Genomic DNA, 19,978 nt, shown 5'->3' with positions numbered 1-19,978 from the left:
TGCTTGTACAACTCAAGGAATCAGCTGATTTGACTCAAAGTCCATCAGCTGATTGACTTGGGAGCTGTGGGTCTTGGGGCCTTGTTTGGTGCACAGCCCAGACGGCACTGCTTTATCACCACTAGCAGCGTGGCTCCCAAGACAGAATCTCCTGGGGCGTTGCTGAAACAGGCAGATCCTGGGCCCACCCAGACTAGATTAAGATCTCTAAAGGCAGGGCACAGAATCTGTCTTAAAACAAGTTGTATATATCATTTATAGGAACACAAAAAAGCAATAACTCTGACCTAGAATATGAATTCCTATAGACTAGTGCTGCAGATATAATAATATTAATTTGCTTATTGGATAGTGGGAAAACAAAACAATCAGGCAGCTCTGGCTCTTTTTGTCCTTCCTGCTCCCCACCCACCCCATGTTGTGCATCTTTCACAAGTTGTTGCACTTGCAGGAGCTTCTGCCACAGTCATGAACGGGTCTGGCATGACAACGATGCCAGAGAAGTGCCAACTCCATTGTGTGAGGCTGTCAGAAAATGAGATTCTAGATTGGTGAGCAAGAGTTCTCGATAACTGAGGTTAACTTTTTAAAAGTTCACATTTGTTATGGGCTGAATTGTGTCCCCCCAAATTCATATGTTGAAGCCCTAACCCCTAATACCTCAGATTTATGATGCAAGGTCTGGATGGTCTGATCGGGATCCCCACAGACCGATCAGCTTGCAGTAAAAGTCCTTGGTGGGGCATGGGGGAGGGAGGTCAAGTCCCATCCCTACTCTGTCTCACAACAGTGCTGTCTTTGTTCTGAGAGAGGGAAAGCAGAAAAGGAAACGGGGCCTGTAAAGACGTAGCTAAGTTAAAACAGAGTTGTTAGGTTAGGCCCTAATCCAATTTGACTGGATGACCCTGGGCGCTCCCTTCACAGAAACCTTGTATGTGTAGAGGGCTGATCCAGGCATAGTTGTTTTCTAGGACACAAATTAAATTACAAGCAACAAGGCCATGGTGGGGTAAACCACAGACAGTGCTGGATATCAGCTCAGGATGGGACAGGAGAGGGCTCCATGGCTGACAGCACTGACAGATGTGAGTTCATGTTCACTGCCAAAAAGCACAGCTGTTGTCACAGGGCTTACAGCAGCACTCAGAGCATGAAGAATGTAAACCATTGTGTCTTTTATGGGTTGATATATCTATTTGCTTTTATAACAAGTGATTTAAGAGACAAATAACATTATAATGAAATAGATCAATATTGCTGCTTTAAGTGGGGGAACTGTGTGCCTCAACTTTCTCAAAGGCATACAGTCATTATTAGTAACAAAAATGATTGTACTAAGTGCTAATTTTGAGGATTATTGTGAGCAATTTGTGTGGGGTGGTGGTGGGGAGGCCCATTTGCCCCACACTGAATGCCCCAGCCCTGTCTGCTGCCTCGAATCTGTCCCGGGGTCTTACTGTGTGTGGGCCTCTTCCTGCTCCTGCCACATTTCTGCTCTCTGATGTTCTCTTCCCTCTTATTTGCTCCTCAACCTTGCTTTGCTTTTCTTTTTCCTTTTATCTCTCATTCTAAATTTTATAATCTTAGTTTTTCGGTTTTTAGAGCCATTTCTAACTAAGGAGAATATCCCTCACTTTGTTAACTAAGACGTTTATATAAGTTTCTCTTACCCAACCCTCCTCTACATCTTTGGAAGATTTACTGAGTATTCATTTCAAAATAATAAAACTAAAGAATGTTTTTAATACTCACAAATTAAAGATATTGGAACACTACTAAGTGTAAATAGCACAAAACCAAAAATATTTTACTCTCTGCATTTGAACAGCATGGAAAGACTGTGGAATCAAGTGTCACATCTATCTAAACCCCCCTCCCATACAGGTTTTATAATCATTTTATTATAGCTGCTTTCATCTGCTCATATTCAGCTCTTCTTGGATTTTTAAAAAACGAGCTCTTGTGCTTGAAGCCTTTCAGGGAAGGCTTCAGGGGCAGGGGTGGTTGTTGTTCTGGACAGTTAAGGGCAGTTAGGGTGGCACAGGCTAGAGGGAGGTCATGACCCATGGACCAATAACACAGTTCAGACAAAGTGCTTCTCAAATGGAAATGATTTGGCTTTACGGATCTTGTAAGAGCATTTAGATGGTGTTGGGCTGTCAGTCGGTTCCAGCTGTAGATGGCTCTTGCATCTACAAAACACAAAAGTGACCTGGAGAAACAAGAGTGGGGCCCATTAGCCAGGCTGGGCCAAGTGCTCCTTGTGGACGGTGACAGCAACTCCCACTGTGCAGGCCCAGGGCAGAGCTATGGGGGAAACGGTGGCTCCCTCTCCCAACTGCTTGCCAGATGGTAGCTGGCTCACAGCAGCCGGTTCCCTGGGGCAGGCTGGGACCAGGTGTGGTGGACGAGGCACCAGGGGGCCTGAGAGCAGACGCTTCCTTAAATCTGGACCCTAGATGCGCAACTCACCTCACCCCAGTCTCAGCCCTGCTCTGGCAACTTTTAACTGCCCTTACTCCAAGTACTCATAATTCAAACCAGAAGATGGAGCCAAGTAACTTGAAAGAGAGCACAGGGCTTTCAAGTGGTTATTAACCAGATGAAACAAATGACTTGGAGAACTCTGCCGTTCTAGTTAGAGCACAGGCCTCTTAGGCAATGCTTCTGTTAACTAATTGTTTAGTAAAATGAAAACTGATCTAGGATTTCTCATCTACCCTAAATAAAAGTCCTATTGCATTATGTGTGGCTGTTCATTCTCTAAGGAAATGGGAAGATACAAAGTGAAACTAAAGTGGGGGCAGAATGGGAAACAAATGTAACAGATAGAAATAAAGGCACAAATTTCAATGAGCAATGCGAAAGAAGGCTGGAATAAACAGAAGGCCCATCATGTCAAGAAAGGAAAACATTGTGAAGATAGGACTTGTTTCAAAGTTAATTTGTACATTTAATGCTATTTCAAACTAAATCCACTAGGATTATTTCGTGGGGTAGAAGGCTTGGCAAAGTATTGTTAAAATTTACCTAAGTGTATATTCAGGCAATTTATCAAATTCAAAAGGAGACTGGGTCATTTTGGGAGTACTTGTGTTATCAGTGCACGTGATAGGGTTACAGTGACAGAAGGATGACTTCTGTGGAGTACACTCAGTGGCCTAAAGATACTGCATATTACATACACTGTGCAAGAATTAACTACATGTTATAGACAGAAGGACTACATAAATAATAATGAATAAATAAAATTCTTGTTGGAACAAAGCTACACATAAAATAAATGAATAAAATAATAAATAAGCAGTAATAATAAAAAGAAAGTGTATAGGTTCTCAATTTACATCATGGCTTGAAATATATTCTGGATGAATGAGAATTAAACAGGCATTGTATCATAGAAAGACTTCACAGATGTAAATTTTACTATTTGCCAAGTTTCTAGAGGATGAAGGACTAAGTTTTCAAGTAATAGAAAATCATATTGGAAAATACTTGACTACAGACATAAATTAATGTAAAATGATAGGAATTCAAAACTAGGGATTGTCATATCTACTGCAAATAGTTTCTAAAAACCTTGTATCTTTATTCTAAGGTAGGATCATAAAAATTTTAGGGGAAAACAACAGAAAAATGAGCAAAAATGTTGGCCAGTTTACAAAGGAAGACATGCAGACACAGGAATAAATTATCATATGAAAGATGTAAACTCCTGATATTAAAATGAAAACAACAGTGATATAGCATTCGCTGACTAATGTCTTAAGTACTGTATGCACGTTAAAAATAAAATGATCCAAATGTTGGAGAGAGTGCAATGAAATAGTATGCTCACACTGAGAAGAAATTGGTTTGTGTTTAACATATGAATACCACAAATCTTTAAATTTTCCTCTGTCGCTGCATAGACCACTGGAAAGTGGCTTAGCCCTAATAAATGTACTTTAGTACATCCCCACATGAAGTGCAGCATAATGGATGAGAGCTCAAATTCCAGACTTTGACTGTTTTGTCTCTTACTGGTTTTGTGAATTTGAGCAAGTTATTAACTTTCTAGGCCTCCATTTTCTCTTTTTTTTTTTTTTTTTTTTTTGAGACAGAGTCTCGCTGTGTCACCCAGGCTGGAGAGCAAAGGTGTGATCTTGGCTCACTGCAACCTCAGCCTCCTGGGTTCAAGTGATTCTCCTGCCTCAGGTTCCCAAGTAACTGGGACTACAGGCACCCACCACCATGCCCAGCTAATTTTTGTATTTTTAGTAGAGATGGGGTTTCAACATGTTGGCCAGGCTGGTCTTGAACTCCTGACCTCATGTGATCTGCCCACCTTGGCCTCCCAAAGTGCTGGGATCACAGGCATGAGCCACCACACCTGGCCTAGGCCTCCATTTTCTTATCTAGAAAATGGGGATAATAATATTTACCTCTGTGCTGCAGGAATTAAATGAAATTATATACGATGAATTTAACACAGTGCTAATATGCAATAAGTATTCAATAAATGCTAGTTGTTTCTTTTCTTACTTTTCCCTTTTACCTGGATTTTTCTACTTAATCAAATTATTTAACTGTGTTTGCTTTTGTAAACTGCTTCAAATCCTTTTTGGAACCTGGCTGCACATAAATTAATCCATATTACCAGTGCTTTCTTAAAGCATTATACCAGTTTATGATGCCAATTCCAATGGAAGAGAGTAATTAGATAACAGGGTCAGTTGTAATAGAGAGTAGTTTGATAACAGGTCAGTTGTAATATTGTAACTACTATCCTAAGACTTAAAAAGCTCATGACCTTTGATACAGTAATTCCATTTTTTGGATTCTACACATGTTAAAAAAAAACAATTTTACATATGTAAAAAGATTAAAGTTTTCATACAAAATTTGTACAAAATTTATTTATAGTTCTGTTTATAATAGCTAAAACAATCAGAATGTTCCTTAAAAAAGAAATAATTAAATTATTCACTCAAGAACACTTTACACAGTTATTAAAATATTTTTGAAAATTATATGATAGCATGGTACACACTTTTCATATAATATCAAGTAAAAAAAGTGATTAATTGTGTCTATAAATTGTCTAAAGCAATCTAAGATTACAAAGAAAAAGACTGAAAGGAAATATGCTAGTGTGTTAATAATGGACTTTGAGAAACAATAGATGATTTCTAAATCCTTTTTTTCCGTGCATTTCTGTAATTCCCCATTTTCTTTAATAATGAGTCTCCCCACCCACACACAAGGCCATTTAAGGTCCCTGTTTTTAACTCATGGATAAACACAAAGGACAACTCAGTTTGAAGTGTTCTTTGGACATGATGTCATCATCATTTCATGAGAAATGGAATCGTCTAAGGTATGATACTGAGACAGAGAGTCGCTTTCAGGCCTGTATAATGGGACAATTTAATACAGATTTCTGCTAGTAGACTCTAGACTGATAGAGTGAGAGAAAGCAGAAAACCTTTTACGGAAGGAGATTGGAAAGCAAAATCTTTGTACCAGCCTCTGAAGTCACAGAAAGAATTCCACAATCAGGGAAATGAAATTTCAGAGCAGAGTTCATTGCCTGATTGGGCAAAAGACCCTCAAACCGAATTTCTTGAAAGAAGTAAGCACAATCCAAGGAGAACATGTTGTTACTCTCATTCTAAGTATTGTTTTTTTAACCTAAAGTTATCAAAATAAAGACACTTTAGAACCCTAAGAGAAAATTATATACTTTTAATTTTTATGCTGTCTTGTCTTTTTCTGATTATAAAATTTAAATATACAAAATGTATAAAGAAGGAAATGAAATTTGCTCGTAATCCCAGCACCCAGAGAATGGCCACTGTTAAGATTTTCTGATGTGAAATCTCTCATTCTCTCTCTGGTATAGATAGAACTAATATTTCTTTTGTGCTTACCAAATGCTTGACACTGCTTGGAGAATTTTACCTGTATAAACTCAGCTCATTCTCACAACAATCTTCTGAGGTAGGTACAAGGATTATCTTGTGAAGTTCAGTTTTTTGACCAAGATGGTGTAACTGGGAAGTTGCAGAGCCGGGAAGTTGCAGAGCTAGGATGTGGGAACCCGGAAGGTCATGCTTTGCCTGTACTCCTAACTTCTCTTTTCTATGGCTTAGATTTATTATAAATACAGTACACATTTCCCAAAATGAGATTATGCTGTGCCTAATGTTTTGTACTGTAACCTGCTTTTTCTTTTGATGTATCTGAACATCATTCCAAATCAATAGATATCAATCCATTTCATTATTCTTAATGTCTGCGTTGTATTTTGCTTCATGGATAATGTATTTAACTGTAATTCATACGGTTGGATATTTTGAAGTTTTCACTGTGAAAAACAGCAGTGACGTGTACATCTTTACATGCAAATGTGCATTTGAGAGGTTATTTCAAAAGAATAATTTCTCAGAAGAGTAAACACCCAGATCAAAGTGAAGCTTTTCAAGGCTGCTGCCAAAGGGCCCTTGGGAAAAATTGTGCCAATTACATTGCCACTAGCAGCCCAGGGGAGTGTGCTTTTCTCAACATTCTAGAGTGTTTTTCAAATCTTTTGACTCACTGGAAGACATACATTTTGTATAGTGACCCACTTACACACACACACACACACACACACACACACACAAGTATAACTGAAATAAATTTTCATATTTTCCTGACTAGGCGCAATAAATTTTCTCTCTTTTCTCCTCTTCCTTTTCTTTTCAAAAACATTTTTTAAAATACCAGATACGGTGGGGTTAAGTTCATGATCCATGAATGGGTAGTAACTCATGGTTTGAAAACACACTCTGTTAATGCTTGGATAGTAGGATTCTTTTTAGTATTTGCCTATTTGACAATATGAGATGATGACGAGTTATTATCCTATTCTTTAATCACTAGAGAGGCTGAGTATTTTGGAAAATTATATTTTTGGAGAGAGTAAACTAGAGTTCATTGTTTCTCAACCTTTAGTGCAATTAGAATTTTTAAAAAGAATCCTTTAATTAATTTCTGGACCAAATAATCTCTAGATTATTTGGCTCAGGTATCAAAATTTGTGGCTAAGGCTGAGAACACATGCCATAGATTACTAAAATTCTTTTAACTGTTCAAATAGACTCTGTTTTTGCCCTTTAAACACCACATATTTTAAAAACATCATAGTCATCTGAAGGTTAATTCAGGGTTAAGTATGGAGTTAGGGAAGGATTCTAATTTTGACTTATGAACTGTTAGCTGCATAAATCACAGTTTTTAAAATCCAGTGCATATTTGGGTCTTATTCAGTGGTAAATTATGGTGAAGAGATTCACATTATGGGAGATAGTTTCGATTCTCATGAATATAATTATACTGTGGGAGAACCAAGGTACTATTTAGTATTTCAGAGTTCCATCAGATAGAGAGTTCCAGTTGCCTACTGGAAATTCTACCTAGATGGTCCTCTGAAACCCCAAATTTAATGTGTCTTGCCAATAGAGTTCTTAACTCCCTCCTGCCTTTTCCCAAACCCATCTTCCTTCCTCTGTTTATGGCCCAGTGGACAATAATATGCTTTGCAATAAGACAGAGGTTTCTTTACATTGTGGATACTGGAAATGTACCATTTGGTGGCCCAAGCCAGCCTGCAGTAATGCGGATGGGGGTGAGGCAGTAGTCTGCTGGCCTGAGCCCTGACCACTGGGATTTCAGCTCTGAAAGCTGGAGAACGCCAGCCTGGGACAGCGCTCCCTCCCTCTCCCCATTTTCTTTCTTTTCTTTTCATACAGAATCTTGCTCTGTTGGCCAGGCTGGAGTAAAGTGGCAGAATTATAGCTCACTGCAGCCTCAAACTCCTGGGGTTCAGTGATCCTCCTGCCTCAGCCTCCTAGACCTACAAGTGCATGCCACCACACCTAGCTATTTTTTTTTTTTTTTTTGTAAAGACCCTGGCCTCAAGTGGTTCTCCTATCTCGGCCTCACAAAGTGCTGGGATTATAGGCATGAGCCACGGCGCTCGGGCCCTCTTCCTGTTTTTTTGTTTCTCTGTTGTGCATGGAGAGGACTGCAGGATAGAACAGACACTCACAGGTGGTTCTTAGAGGACCAGCCTCTGGTACACAGGACTGCAGTGGGGACATAAAGACAGCGGAGTAGTGAGTCTATAGCAGATGTTATCTGAATGACTGGAAGAGGTGAGAGATTTAAATGACTTCCCAAAGGGCTGGACAAATTGATGCACGGCAGGTGACTAAGAGGAGCTGGGGTTGAGTCAAAGGTGACCATTCTGGTCTTTCTACAGTGTTTGTCCTTGGTGTGCTATTGGTCATACTGGCAATTCCCATGTCTCCAGGTTTCTCTATTACTGCTCCTTTAGAAGAGTGCCAGAGTAGAAAAAGCTTTAACCTTGAGCAAGTTATCTAACCTTTCTATTTCATCTATAAAATGGAGTAATAATATACTGTTGGGTCTGTGAAGTCCCAGCACAGGGCCAGGCCCTTGATAGGCACTAAATAAACGACAGCCCTTTAGAAGGAGCCAGCTGTGATGGTCAGGATCAGACCCTCTCCACACATCCAGGTAGGCAAGTGCCCGAGATCTCAGATGGTCAAGTGGAGTGCCCGGCAAGGGGGCTGGAGAGTGGTGGGGTGGTGGGTGGGCTGTGAGTCAGCCCATGGTCCCTGTCATATTCTCCTGCGGTGTCCAAAGTGCTCCCCACTAGAGCAGCACAGCTCTGCAGAGATGCAGAAGAACAGTTACGGATCCAGTCAGATGATGGATCAGCTGTTCGGCTTTTACCTGCTGTTCACCCAAGTTTACCTACTTAGAAAGAGAAGACTACCAGCAACCTAGAGAAAGAATAGAAAGTCCAGCCACCTTCCAGGCTTTGAGTCTCAGATTATGGGAGTGTGGATTTTCCTCTGGTTGTCCATGGTCACTAGAGGTCAATGATCAAGTCATCCAACCCAGACATCGTTATTTAGAGCTGGAAAACAGAAAACAAGGGAGCACTACATCCTGTTGGGTCACATCCTGTTCACGATGACAGGAAGCAGGGCAGCAGACCAAGACGGGTAGAAAAACATGACGCTTACAAGGCATTTGCACGCTAGATGTGCACGTGTGTTTTGGTATACAGTTTTTAAAGACACTGTGAATCAATGCCCATATTACGCTTTTGGAAATTCTCAAGTTTCTTGTCAAATAAAATTGGCTAAAAGCCAAGTCTTTATTATCTGACTGTGCTGGGCCTAAAACCATGCCAATTTAAGAAAGAGAAAAATATCCTATTTGCCATCTGAAAACTGATCACAAAGGCACTGAGTGTTTCCCGCAGGAATAGAAATGCAATGTTGGGAAATCTCAGTTACACTCCTAGTGAGTATGAGGTTGTGAGTCTTGCCTGGAAATGGGAAGGTTGTTGCCTTTCTCAAAGGGAAGGGATGGATTATCCCAGCCGTGGGCACCCCATAGTACATTGCCTGAGAGGCATCAGGCTGGTGTGGAATTGCAGGCACACAACCCCCCTTGCCTGAACATAATGTGTCTTTCCTTCATTCAGCTTTTTAGACTCAGGATGGCAAAACTCCCGTCCGGCCCTTTCCCTTCACCTCCACTGATTTCATTCATTTTCCCTTTCTTCTTCTCTCCCCTTCTCTTCTGTGTGTTTTGGGAAAGATAATGGCTGCATAATGGCTCCCAGGCTGCTTTTTATGGGGTTGGGATTAAGGAGAAAGTGCCATCTCTTGGGTTTTAGGTTGATAATTAGCATCCTTCAGGAAGTTCTATGAGAAACCCCCTCCAGTTCTGGACTTTCTGCTAATTCAGGACTGCAGTGCTTCTAAGATATCTCAAGCATTCAGGATGGTGGTTCTCAAACTTGCGGATTATTGATCCCAGTAACCTGTCTTTAAGGTTTAAAAACCATGTATTTTGCAATTTGTTCTCAATGGCTTGCTGGCTTTCTTCTTGGGTTTCTTTTCATTCCTGGTAAGTAATTGTGCTAGAAATGGGCCACAGTCACTAGGAAATTGTCTCTTAGGGTCATCCATGCATCATAGGACTGGATGGGAGGGAACCTGGTAGGTAGGTAGGTCTGCTAAAGTGTTTGCCTGTCGTTCAGTAATTTTAGATGTTACTGCTTAGAAAAAGAGATAGAAAAGAATAATATTGACTGCTAAGATCTACACATGGGGAGTAGGGCTTTTATTCTAAAAATTTTGAATTATTGAAATCCAGCACAAATGTGATGCATAATTTTTATCCCAAAATAAAATTGTGTTTTCATTTGTGCATGTCACCTGCTAGTTCTTGTGATGTGGACATTTTTTTAACCTATTTAGAGTATTATCATGAATATTTTAAATTTTCACCTAAATTTACGTATTAGAGATTAAAAAAAAAAAAGAAAATGGGCTGGGTGTGGTGGCTCACGCCTGTAATCCCAACACTTTGGGAGGCCAAGGCAGGCAGATTACCTGAGGTCAGGAGTTCGAGACCAGCCTGGCCAAAATGGTGAAACCCCTTCTCTACTAAAAATACAAAAAAATTAGCCGGGTGTAGTGGTGCGTACCTGTAATCCCAGCTACTCGAGAGGCTGAGACAGGAGAATCTCTTGAACCCAGGAGGCAGAGGTTGCAGTGAGCTGAGATCACGCCACTGCACTCTAGCCTAGGAGGCAGAGTGAGGCTCCGTCTCAAAAAAAAAAAAAAATAGAAAATAACAATTAGACCTACTGTTGGTGCTGATGGATGAAGCAGCAGAATGATGACAGTAAGCAGTGGCTTTCCTGCCTGGCTTTGCCTTTGGGGCCTTCAACATTTAGTATTTCAGCTTGGCCTCTAAAAAAATGGGAGCTTACGAATAGCTACCTTACAAATATATTAGGTGGAAAAATCACTGGTGTGTGATTTTGGGGCCACCAAGATGCAAATATGTAGTATCAAATGCATCAATACGGACAAAGGGTTCCAATATCTGGGCAGGCCACCAGGCAGAACTGCCTCCTTCAGTTGTTTATGTCATTCACTTCTTTCTTTTCTTTTTTCCCTCAGTTTTCAGCCATTCCTTCCTCAAAATCCTGCTCAAGTCTAAGAGCAAGGATCCTACTTGCTAACTGCCGTGTGCTAGGCAGGGTGCTAAGCACTTTATTCATGTATCTAATTTAGTCCTACTACGCCACGAGAGAGATACCATCATCCACACTTTACAGATGAGCAAATGGAACCGCTAGTTAAGAATCTTGCTCAAGGTCACATCGGTAGTAAGGGATGGAGCCAGTGTTCTCACACAGATATTTGCAGTCAGCCCTTTCTAATTACAGATCAGGCTCTTTTGCAACACTGCACTGCCTTTCAATGTGGAGCCTGGGAGAGAAATGACAGAAAAAGATGTGTTAGAGTGGACTGTTTATTCTTTGAATGATCTCTGTCTCTCTCTTTTTGTTTATTTTTCTTTTGTTTTTGATGCTTGAATTTACTGTCACTGCCTACAAACTGGGGACATTCATTATTGGATATTACTGGTTAGAGAGTATGGTTTTATGTAATAAGGAAAGGAATTTCAGAAATGTAAACTGCAGGAAAAGAAACACAGCAAATTTCCAGATGTCTGGGTTCCTTTTTTTTTCCTTTTGTAAATGATTTGGTTGGTTCTATTTGGAATGAAAGTTAACTGCCTAGAGGATAAAAATATCCTCTTTTGTAGTTTTTACCTCGAACAGCAACAAGAACATATTATGTGTTTTCATGGAAAGATCTATTTTTAGAGAGAATGCAAGCCACCCTCAGCCCTGTGAGTAATAACTGTTTGGCACAATGATACTTACAATAGATAATCACTCTAAGTCCTTCTTTGAAAGCCTGCCTTATGAATTGTTTTTATTACATAATTTGTACGTGTTATTTTTGATTCATGAAACCTCATTTAATTAAAAAAAAACCCAAAGGATATATGTATAGAGCTTTGGGAATTCCTTTTACTTCCTGTATAATGATTCACAATTTAAATATACCACATTGGGTGGAGGAAGTACCTATCATGGCCTTATGAAAATAAAAACTGTGAACGAGGAACAGAAACTGCAGATTGCTGCATGCTCATCAGTCCTCCTGTAGGTGGGAAGTGGCCTCCGTGCACATTATGTGAAGGCCATGAAATGAAACGACTGCTGAATGGTCAATGGGATGATCCTAGGGAGAGGGAATGGGCTGTTTTCTCTTGGGTGCTTAAATTAATGACATTTATTTTTTATTTTTGGTATACTTTTCCCTAGATTCAGAAGTTTAGCCATCTAGCTTAAAAAAGCCAGAATTGATCCCTACTCTCTGACATATTCAAATGGCTAAACAAAATAGAAAAAGTGACTAAACTATAGAATTCTGGACTCAGAGAGTCATGGTTTCCTAGAATTATACAGATGAATGCAAGAGATATCGTAGAGATGATTCCTGGGTTAGGTGGGTGGTCTTCAACTCTGAGATTCTGTCATTTGATGACTTTTACTCTGCTAGATCTGGTAAGTTTCTTCTGGGAGACAATTTTTCTGCCATTCAGAATCTCAGAGAGGTTTTAACTGAAACAGTCTCTCAATAAAAGCCTCGTGTCAGATACTCTCCTTTGTAGGGAAGCAGTGCTGACAGTAGCTGGGAAGAACTGAGTGGCCTCAAACAAAAAGAAAAGGAAAGCAAGTTTGAAAGATATAACTGTCATTATTTCCTTTGGAGAGATAATTATCTTGACATAAAAGTTACATTTCATGTATAACCCACGATTTGTAAATAGAGTCATGGGTCTCCTGCTAGTAGATGTGGGCAATGAACACTTGCCAGAATTGTGCGTGTGTTTTGCTCTGAATTTCGTTGCACAGACTGGTAGGTATGGTTTGGTTCAGATTTCATCCAGCTGTATTATTTGGAGTGATAATTTCATCAGTGATTCAAATAAGTTGAAATTTATAGATTTAGAAAGAGATCATAAGCATGATTTGATTTGGGTTATATGTTTTGTGAAAATTTAAAAATATCTTTTAAACCACCCACAGAACTTTTCAAGTGTGAAGAAAGAAGGATTTGCAGTGTGGCCAAATGGGCCAGTTAGTTTTACCTAGGATTTTAAGATTCTTGAACTCAGTCCTTGGGTGGCTCTGGATCTGGAAGGGTAGAGAGTAGCTTTGTAATAAATTTAATTTCATCTCTAAATTAATAAAAGTGAGAGTTAATGAGAAATTAGAAGTCTTGTGATGAATTTCTCAGTCTTTAAAATTCAGTGATCTTGGCTCCAAGTAATCATTGCTATAGATTTGGAAGATGGTACATAGAAGATGGAATAGTACCTGCACTTCATGATGACTGTGAATTCTTTCGTTCTGACCCTGTGACTGAGCCCTCCCAGGTGAGATAATCAGAAGACAGCAAAGGTTTTGAAGGAGAGGCATGCAACAGAAACTTCTGTGCTTTCAAAATAAATTACAGGTTGAGGAAGGCAAGTGGAAAGCTTTTGTCCAAATTGATTTTCATATTAGCAAGGATGATTTATGCCTGGGAAAAATTAAAGCTCATGAAATCAGTATGAATTTAAGTCTACAAACTGAAGTATGCAAGAATTAGCTCTGTTTTAAAAAAATGACTTTATTGGGGTTTAATTTATTAGGTTGTTGCAAAAGTAATTGTGGTTTTGTCATTAAAAGTAATGGCAATATATGTGTATTCCGTACAACTCATCCATTGTAACTGCATAGTTGATTTTTAGTAAATTTCCAGATTTGCTACCATAACTACAATCCAGTTTTAGACCACTTCTATCACCTCCAGAAGGTTTTCTCTGTGTCTATTTGCAGTCAATCCTGCTTCCCACCCTCAGCCTCAGGCAACCACTGATCTGTTTCCTGTCTTCATGGTTTTGCCTTTTCTAGAAGTTTCATGTAACTGGAGTCAAGCAATATATTATATTTTGTGCCTGGCATTTTTCACTTAATAATATTTTGAGTTTTACCCATGCTGTTGCACATATTAGTAGTTTGTTCCTTTCCATTGTTTAGTAGTTTTCCATTATAGATAAGCAACAATATGCTTATTCATTCATTAGTTGATGGACATTTAAATTGTTTCTAGTTTTGGGTTATTGTGAATCCTGCAGCTATGAACATGTGCATATGAGTTTTTCTGTGAACATATGTTTTCATTTCTGATGACTGGACACCTAGAAGCGAAATTGCTGGGTCATGCAGTAAGTGTGTATTTAACATGTTGAGAAACTGCAAAAATGTTTCCCAATGTTGCTGTACCATTTTATTTTCCCACCAACAATCTATGACTTAGTAAGGTCAGTCTTTTCTATTATGGTCATTCTAGTGGATGTGGTATTAATTTGCATTTCCCTAATGACTACTAATGTTGGAAATCCTTTCGTATGCTTATTAGTCATATGTGTTTCCTTTTTTGATAAAATGTCTATTTACATTATTGCCCATTTTAAAAACTGAGTTGTCTTTTTTTTTTTTTCTTTTTTTGAGACAGAGTCTCACTCTGTTGCCCAGGCTGGAGTGCAGTGGTGGGGCAATTTCGGCTCACCACAACCTCCACCTCCCAGGTTAAAGCAATTCTCATGTTTCAGCCTCCCAAGTAGCTGGGACTACAGGTGCCTGCCACCACACCTGGCTAATTTTTATATTTTTAGTAGAGACAGGGTTTCACCATATTGGCCAGGCTGGTCTCAAACTCCTGACCTCAGGTAATCCACCCACCTCGGCCTCCTAAAATGCTGACATTTACAGGCATGAGCCACTGTGCCTGACCAGAGTTGTCTTTTTAAATTGATAAATAGATGTATCTATTTTGGGGGTATATGAGATATTTGGATATCCTTCACCATTATCATTTATCTTTTCTTGACGCTACGAACATTCAGTTTATTCTCTTCTAGCTATTTTGAAATGTACAATAGATGATTGCTAGCTATATTCACCCTGCTGTTCTATCGAACATTAAGTCTTATTTCTTCTATCTAACTCTGTATTTGTACCCATTAACCAAGCTCTCTTCATTCCTCCCTCCCCTCCATCCTTTCCAGACTCTGGTAACCACCAGTCTACTCTTTGTCTTTGTGAGTGCCACCTTTTTAGCTACCACATATGAGTGAGAATATGTGATATTTGCCTTTCTATGTGTGGCTTATTTCTCTTAACATAATGATCTCCAGTTCCATCCATGTTGCTGTAGATGACAGGATTTCATTCTTTTTCAATGGCCAAATAATATTCCATTGTGTATATACACCACATTTGATCCATAGACCTATTGATGGGCACTTAGGTTGATTCCGTATCTCGGCTGTTTTGAATAGTGCTGCAATAAACATGGGAGTGCAGATATCTCTTTGATACATTCATTTCCTTTCTTTTGGATATGTAGTCAGTAGTGGGATTTCTAGATCACATGGTAGTTCTATTTTTAGTTTTTTGAGGCACCTCCATACTGTTTTCCATAGTGGCTGCACTAATTTACATTCCCACCAGCAGTGTATGAGGGTTCCTTCCCCTTTCTCTACATCCTCACTAGCATCTTTTTAATAAATGCCATTTTAACTGGGATGAGATGATATCTCATTGTAGTTTTGATTTGCATTTCTCTGATAATTAGTGATGGTGAGCATTTTTTCATATACCTGTTTGCCACTTGTATGCCATCTTTTGAGAAATGTCTATTAGATCTTTTGCTTGTTTCAAAATTTGATTTTTTAAAAACAATTGCATTGCATTCCTTATGTATTCTAGTTATTCACCCTTTATCAGACGGATAGTTCGCAAGTATTTTCTCCTATTCGTGGGTTGTCTCTTCACTTTGTTGATTGTTTCTTTTGCTGTGCAAAAAGGTTTTTAGCTTGATGTCATCCCATTTGTCTATTTTTGCTTTTATTGCCTGTGCTTTTCAGGTCTTACACAAAATAATCTGCCCAGACCAATATCCTGAAGCATTTCCCTAATGTTTTCTTCTAGTAGTTTTGTAGTTTCACGTCTTAGATTTAAATCTTTAATCCCTTTTGACTTTATTTTTGTATATAGGAGAGATAGGAGTCTAATTTCATTCTTCATGTTTGTCTTATATTATTAAGTTGTAAGAGTTCTGCATACAAGTCTTTTATCAGAAATGTGATTTGCAAATATTTTCTCCCTGATGGTGGCTTCTGTTTTAATTTTCTTAGTGATGTCTTTTGAAAAGTAAACACTTAATTTTGATAAATTCCAGTGTAATTTTTTTTCTTTTATGGATCTTGCTTTGTGTCACATCTAACAAGTGTTTGCTTAACCCAAAGTCACAAAGATTCTCTGTTTTTTTTTTCTAGAAGTTTTATAGACTTAGGACTTACATTTTAACCTATGACCTATTTTGAGTTATACATGGTAAGAGATGAGGGTCTAAGATTTTTTTTGTTTTTTTTGTATATGAATATATAATTGTTCCAGCACCATTTATTGAAAAGACTCTCTTTTCCCTCATTGAATTGCTTTGTCACCTTTGTCAAAATCAATTGACTGTAAGTATGAAGATTTATTTCTGGACTCTATTCTGTCTGTTTGATCAATTATGTCTGTCCATACACAAATAGCATACTGTCTTGATTACTATAGATTTATAGTAAATTTTGTTTAAGTCCTCCAACTTTGTTCTTTTTGTTCAGTTTTTTTTTTTTTGGTTGTTCGCAGTCCTTTGAATTTTCACATAAATTTTACAATCAGTTTGTTAATTTCTACAAAAGCAGGGTCTCTGGATCATATGGTAAGAGTATGTTTAGTTTGGTAAGAAACTGTCAAACTGACTTCCAAAGTGGTTATACTATTTTGCAATCTTAACAGAAGTGAATGAGACTATTTGGGTAATAGTCTTTTATCAGATACATCTGTTTCAAATATTTTCTCCAAGTCTGTGGCTTGTGTTTTAATTCTCCTAAAGGGTCTTTTGAGTTTTTAATTTTGATGAAGTCCAGCCTATTAATTTTTTTCATGGGTTATGACTTTGCTGTCATATCTAAAAAGTAATTGCCAAACCCAAGATTATCTAGATTTTCTCCTATGTTATTTTCTAGGAGTTTTATAGTTTCATGCTTTAAATTCAGGTTTATGAGCTGTTTTGAGTTAATTTTTGTGTTTAGATTTTTATATTTGGCACATGGATGTCCATTTATTCCAGCACTATCATTGAAAAGATCATCTTTTTTCCAGTTTATTGCCTTTGCACCTTTGTAAAAAATCAGTTGACAATATTAATGTGGGTTTACTTCTGGTCTTTGTATTCTATTCCATTTATCTGTCTATTCCTTCACTATGCCACATTGTCTTGACTACTATAGCTTTATAGTAAGTATTGAAGTCAGGTAGTATTAGTCGTCTGTCTTTTTTCTTCTCCTTCAATATTTTGTTGGTTATTCTGGGTCTTTTGCTTCTCCATGTAAACTTTACAGTTAATTTGTTGATATTCACAAGATAACTTGCTGGGATTTTGACTTGTATTGCATTGAATCTATAGGTCAAGCTGGGAAGAGCTGACATCTTCACAATATTGAGTCTTTCTATCAATACACATGAAATATCTATTTATTTAGTTCTTCTTTGATTTCTTTCATCAGAATTTTTTAGTTTCCTTCATATAGATATTGCACATTTAAAACAAAACTGATACCTAAGTATTTCATTTTTGGAAATGCTAATGTAGATAATATTGTGTTTTAAAGTTCAAATTTCACTTATTCATTGCTGGTATATAGAAAAGCAATTGGCTTTTATATGTTGACCTTGTATACTGCAAACTTGCTATAATTGCTGATTAATTCCAGGAATATTTTTGTTGATTGTTTTGGATTTTCTACATAGGCAATCATGGTTATCTGTGAACAAGCACGGATTTATTTATTCCTTCTTAGTCTTTATGCATTTTATTTCCTTAAAAAATCACATTATGTTAGGACTTCCAGTGCAATGTTGAAAAGGAGTGGTGAGAAGAGACATTCTTGCCTTTTACCTGAACTTAGTGGGAAAGCTTGTAGTTTCTCACCATTGGGTATTATATTGTAGATTTTTTTGTAGATATGCTTTATCAACTTGAGGAAGTTTTCCTCTATTTCTAGTTTGCTGAGTGTTTTCTTAATCATAAAGGAGTGTTGGAAGGCCCTTTTTGTTAGATTTATTTCCTACCATATGACACACGAATGTCTTACTAATTAGTATAATTGCTACTTTTTGCTCACTAGGTGGAATCAGCATTCATCAATGTAATAAACCAGTGGTCTTATGGAAAGATGATCAAGTCCCTGCAGACTATAATATAACATTTAGGTTTGAAGGGTTGATATACCCCAAGGTAAGGCAGTTAAGGTGTATTGCTGGCTTTGCCAACAGAAGGCAAATCAATTCTGGTAGTCTTTATTAATAGGTATTGAGAAAAAGGCATTTGTCAGACCAGTCGCTGCATACCAGTAATAGGGCATGTGTTAATTTGCTCAAGCAATGAAGCCTTTTCTGAAAGACCAGCTGAAATTCAAGTCACCACCTGATTAAGCTTACTATAATCCACTGCCATTCTCCAGTATCTATCTGTCTTCTGTACAGGCCAAATAGGCAAGTTGAATGAGGATGTGGTGGGAATCACCACGTGTGCATCCTTCCAACCTTTGATAGTGGCACCATTCTCTAGAATCCCTCCCATGAATGCAGTATTGCTTTCGGTTTACTGTTTTCCTAGGTAAAGACTATTCTAGTGGCTTACACTTGGTCTTTCTTATTGTAATGGCCCTCACTCCACAAGTCGGAGAACAAGCATGGGGATCCTGCCAGTTGCTGAATATGTCTATTCCAATTATTTACTCTGGAACTGGAGAAATGACCACTGAATGCGTTTGGAGACCCACTGGACTCACTGTGACTTGAGCTAAAACTACACTAATTACCTGAGTTTCAGAAGTTCCCACTCTAGGACGGCATGGTAGCTCATGCCTGTAATCCCAGCACTTTGGGAGGGTGAAGGGAGTGAATTTCTCGAGCCCAGGAGTTCAAGACCAGCCTGGGCAACATGGTGAAACCGGGTCTCTACTAAAAATACAAAAAAATTAGCCGGATGTAGTGGCATGAGCCTGTAGTCCCAACTACTCTGGAGGCTGAGGTGGGAAAATTACCTCAGCCAGGGGACGTCGAGGCTGCAGTGAGCCAAAATCATGCCACTGCACTCCAGCCTTGGCAACCAGAGTGAGACCATATGTCTAAATAAATAAATAAATAAAATTTATATTCTGACTGATAGACCACAGTGATGGTTTGGGTCTCCTAAGATTAGTGTCACTAATCCAGTAAGTCAGTGTCCAATAATCACCTAAAAGTCTGATTATTTTGTTTTCCCTAATGCACAGTCACCCTGGCAGAAGGCCATAGGTCCTTTGGGGAGGGCTGAGAAAAAGATTAATGGCATAAACTTTTGGCAGTGTAATGGGTACTTCTTCAAGGAGCTCAAACCTCCCCTTCTTTCAAGGCATTTGGGATCTGTAAACTGGCTCAAGTCTAGGAATTGATTGCAGAAACTGCGACTCTGTTTTTATGATTTAAATTAGACTAAGTTCGTATTGCCTGGAACTCTTCTGCTTAAACAGTGCAAATAAGAATGTAGTAGACCAGGTGTTTTAGCCTGTTCTTGCATTGCTATAAAGGAATACCTGAGACTGGGTAATTTATAAGAAAAGAGGTTTAATTGACTCACAGTTCTGCAGGTTGTACAGGAAGCATGGCAGCATCTGCTACTGGGGAGGCCTCAGGGAGCTTTTACTCATATGGCAGAAGGCAAAGCGGGAGCAGGCACTTAACATGGCAAAGGCAGGAGCAAGAGATATGAGGAGGTGACACACAGTTTTAAATGACCAGATCTCACAAGAACTTACTATTGTGAGGACAATACCATGGAGATGACACTAAACCATTCATGAGAAATCCTCCCGCCATGATCCAGTCACCTCC

The 19,978-nt window shown here is 38.6% G+C and overlaps 1 long non-coding RNA gene across 7 annotated transcripts in view, besides 3 other annotated features; it reads left to right on the top strand.

Moving 5' to 3' along the window:
* Positions 1–19,978, top strand: part of SLC44A3-AS1 (SLC44A3 antisense RNA 1) — a 203,881-nt gene that overhangs the window by 15,509 nt on the left and 168,394 nt on the right. The window lies entirely within an intron of this gene.
* Positions 2,211–2,270: an enhancer, noted in NCBI's record as "active region_1350". NCBI's record gives its function as "activates an Ori minimal core promoter by ATAC-STARR-seq in GM12878 lymphoblastoid cells {active_cell/tissue: GM12878}" and the evidence as "EXISTENCE:reporter gene assay evidence [ECO:0000049][PMID:35858748]".
* Positions 2,351–2,430: an enhancer, noted in NCBI's record as "active region_1349". NCBI's record gives its function as "activates an Ori minimal core promoter by ATAC-STARR-seq in GM12878 lymphoblastoid cells {active_cell/tissue: GM12878}" and the evidence as "EXISTENCE:reporter gene assay evidence [ECO:0000049][PMID:35858748]".
* Positions 11,970–12,019: a silencer, noted in NCBI's record as "silent region_1099". NCBI's record gives its function as "represses an Ori minimal core promoter by ATAC-STARR-seq in GM12878 lymphoblastoid cells {active_cell/tissue: GM12878}" and the evidence as "EXISTENCE:reporter gene assay evidence [ECO:0000049][PMID:35858748]".

This window comes from Homo sapiens, chromosome 1 (genome assembly GCF_000001405.40).
Source record: "Homo sapiens chromosome 1, GRCh38.p14 Primary Assembly".
NCBI lineage: Eukaryota > Metazoa > Chordata > Mammalia > Primates > Hominidae > Homo > Homo sapiens.
This window is presented reverse-complemented; position numbering and strand designations above follow the sequence as displayed.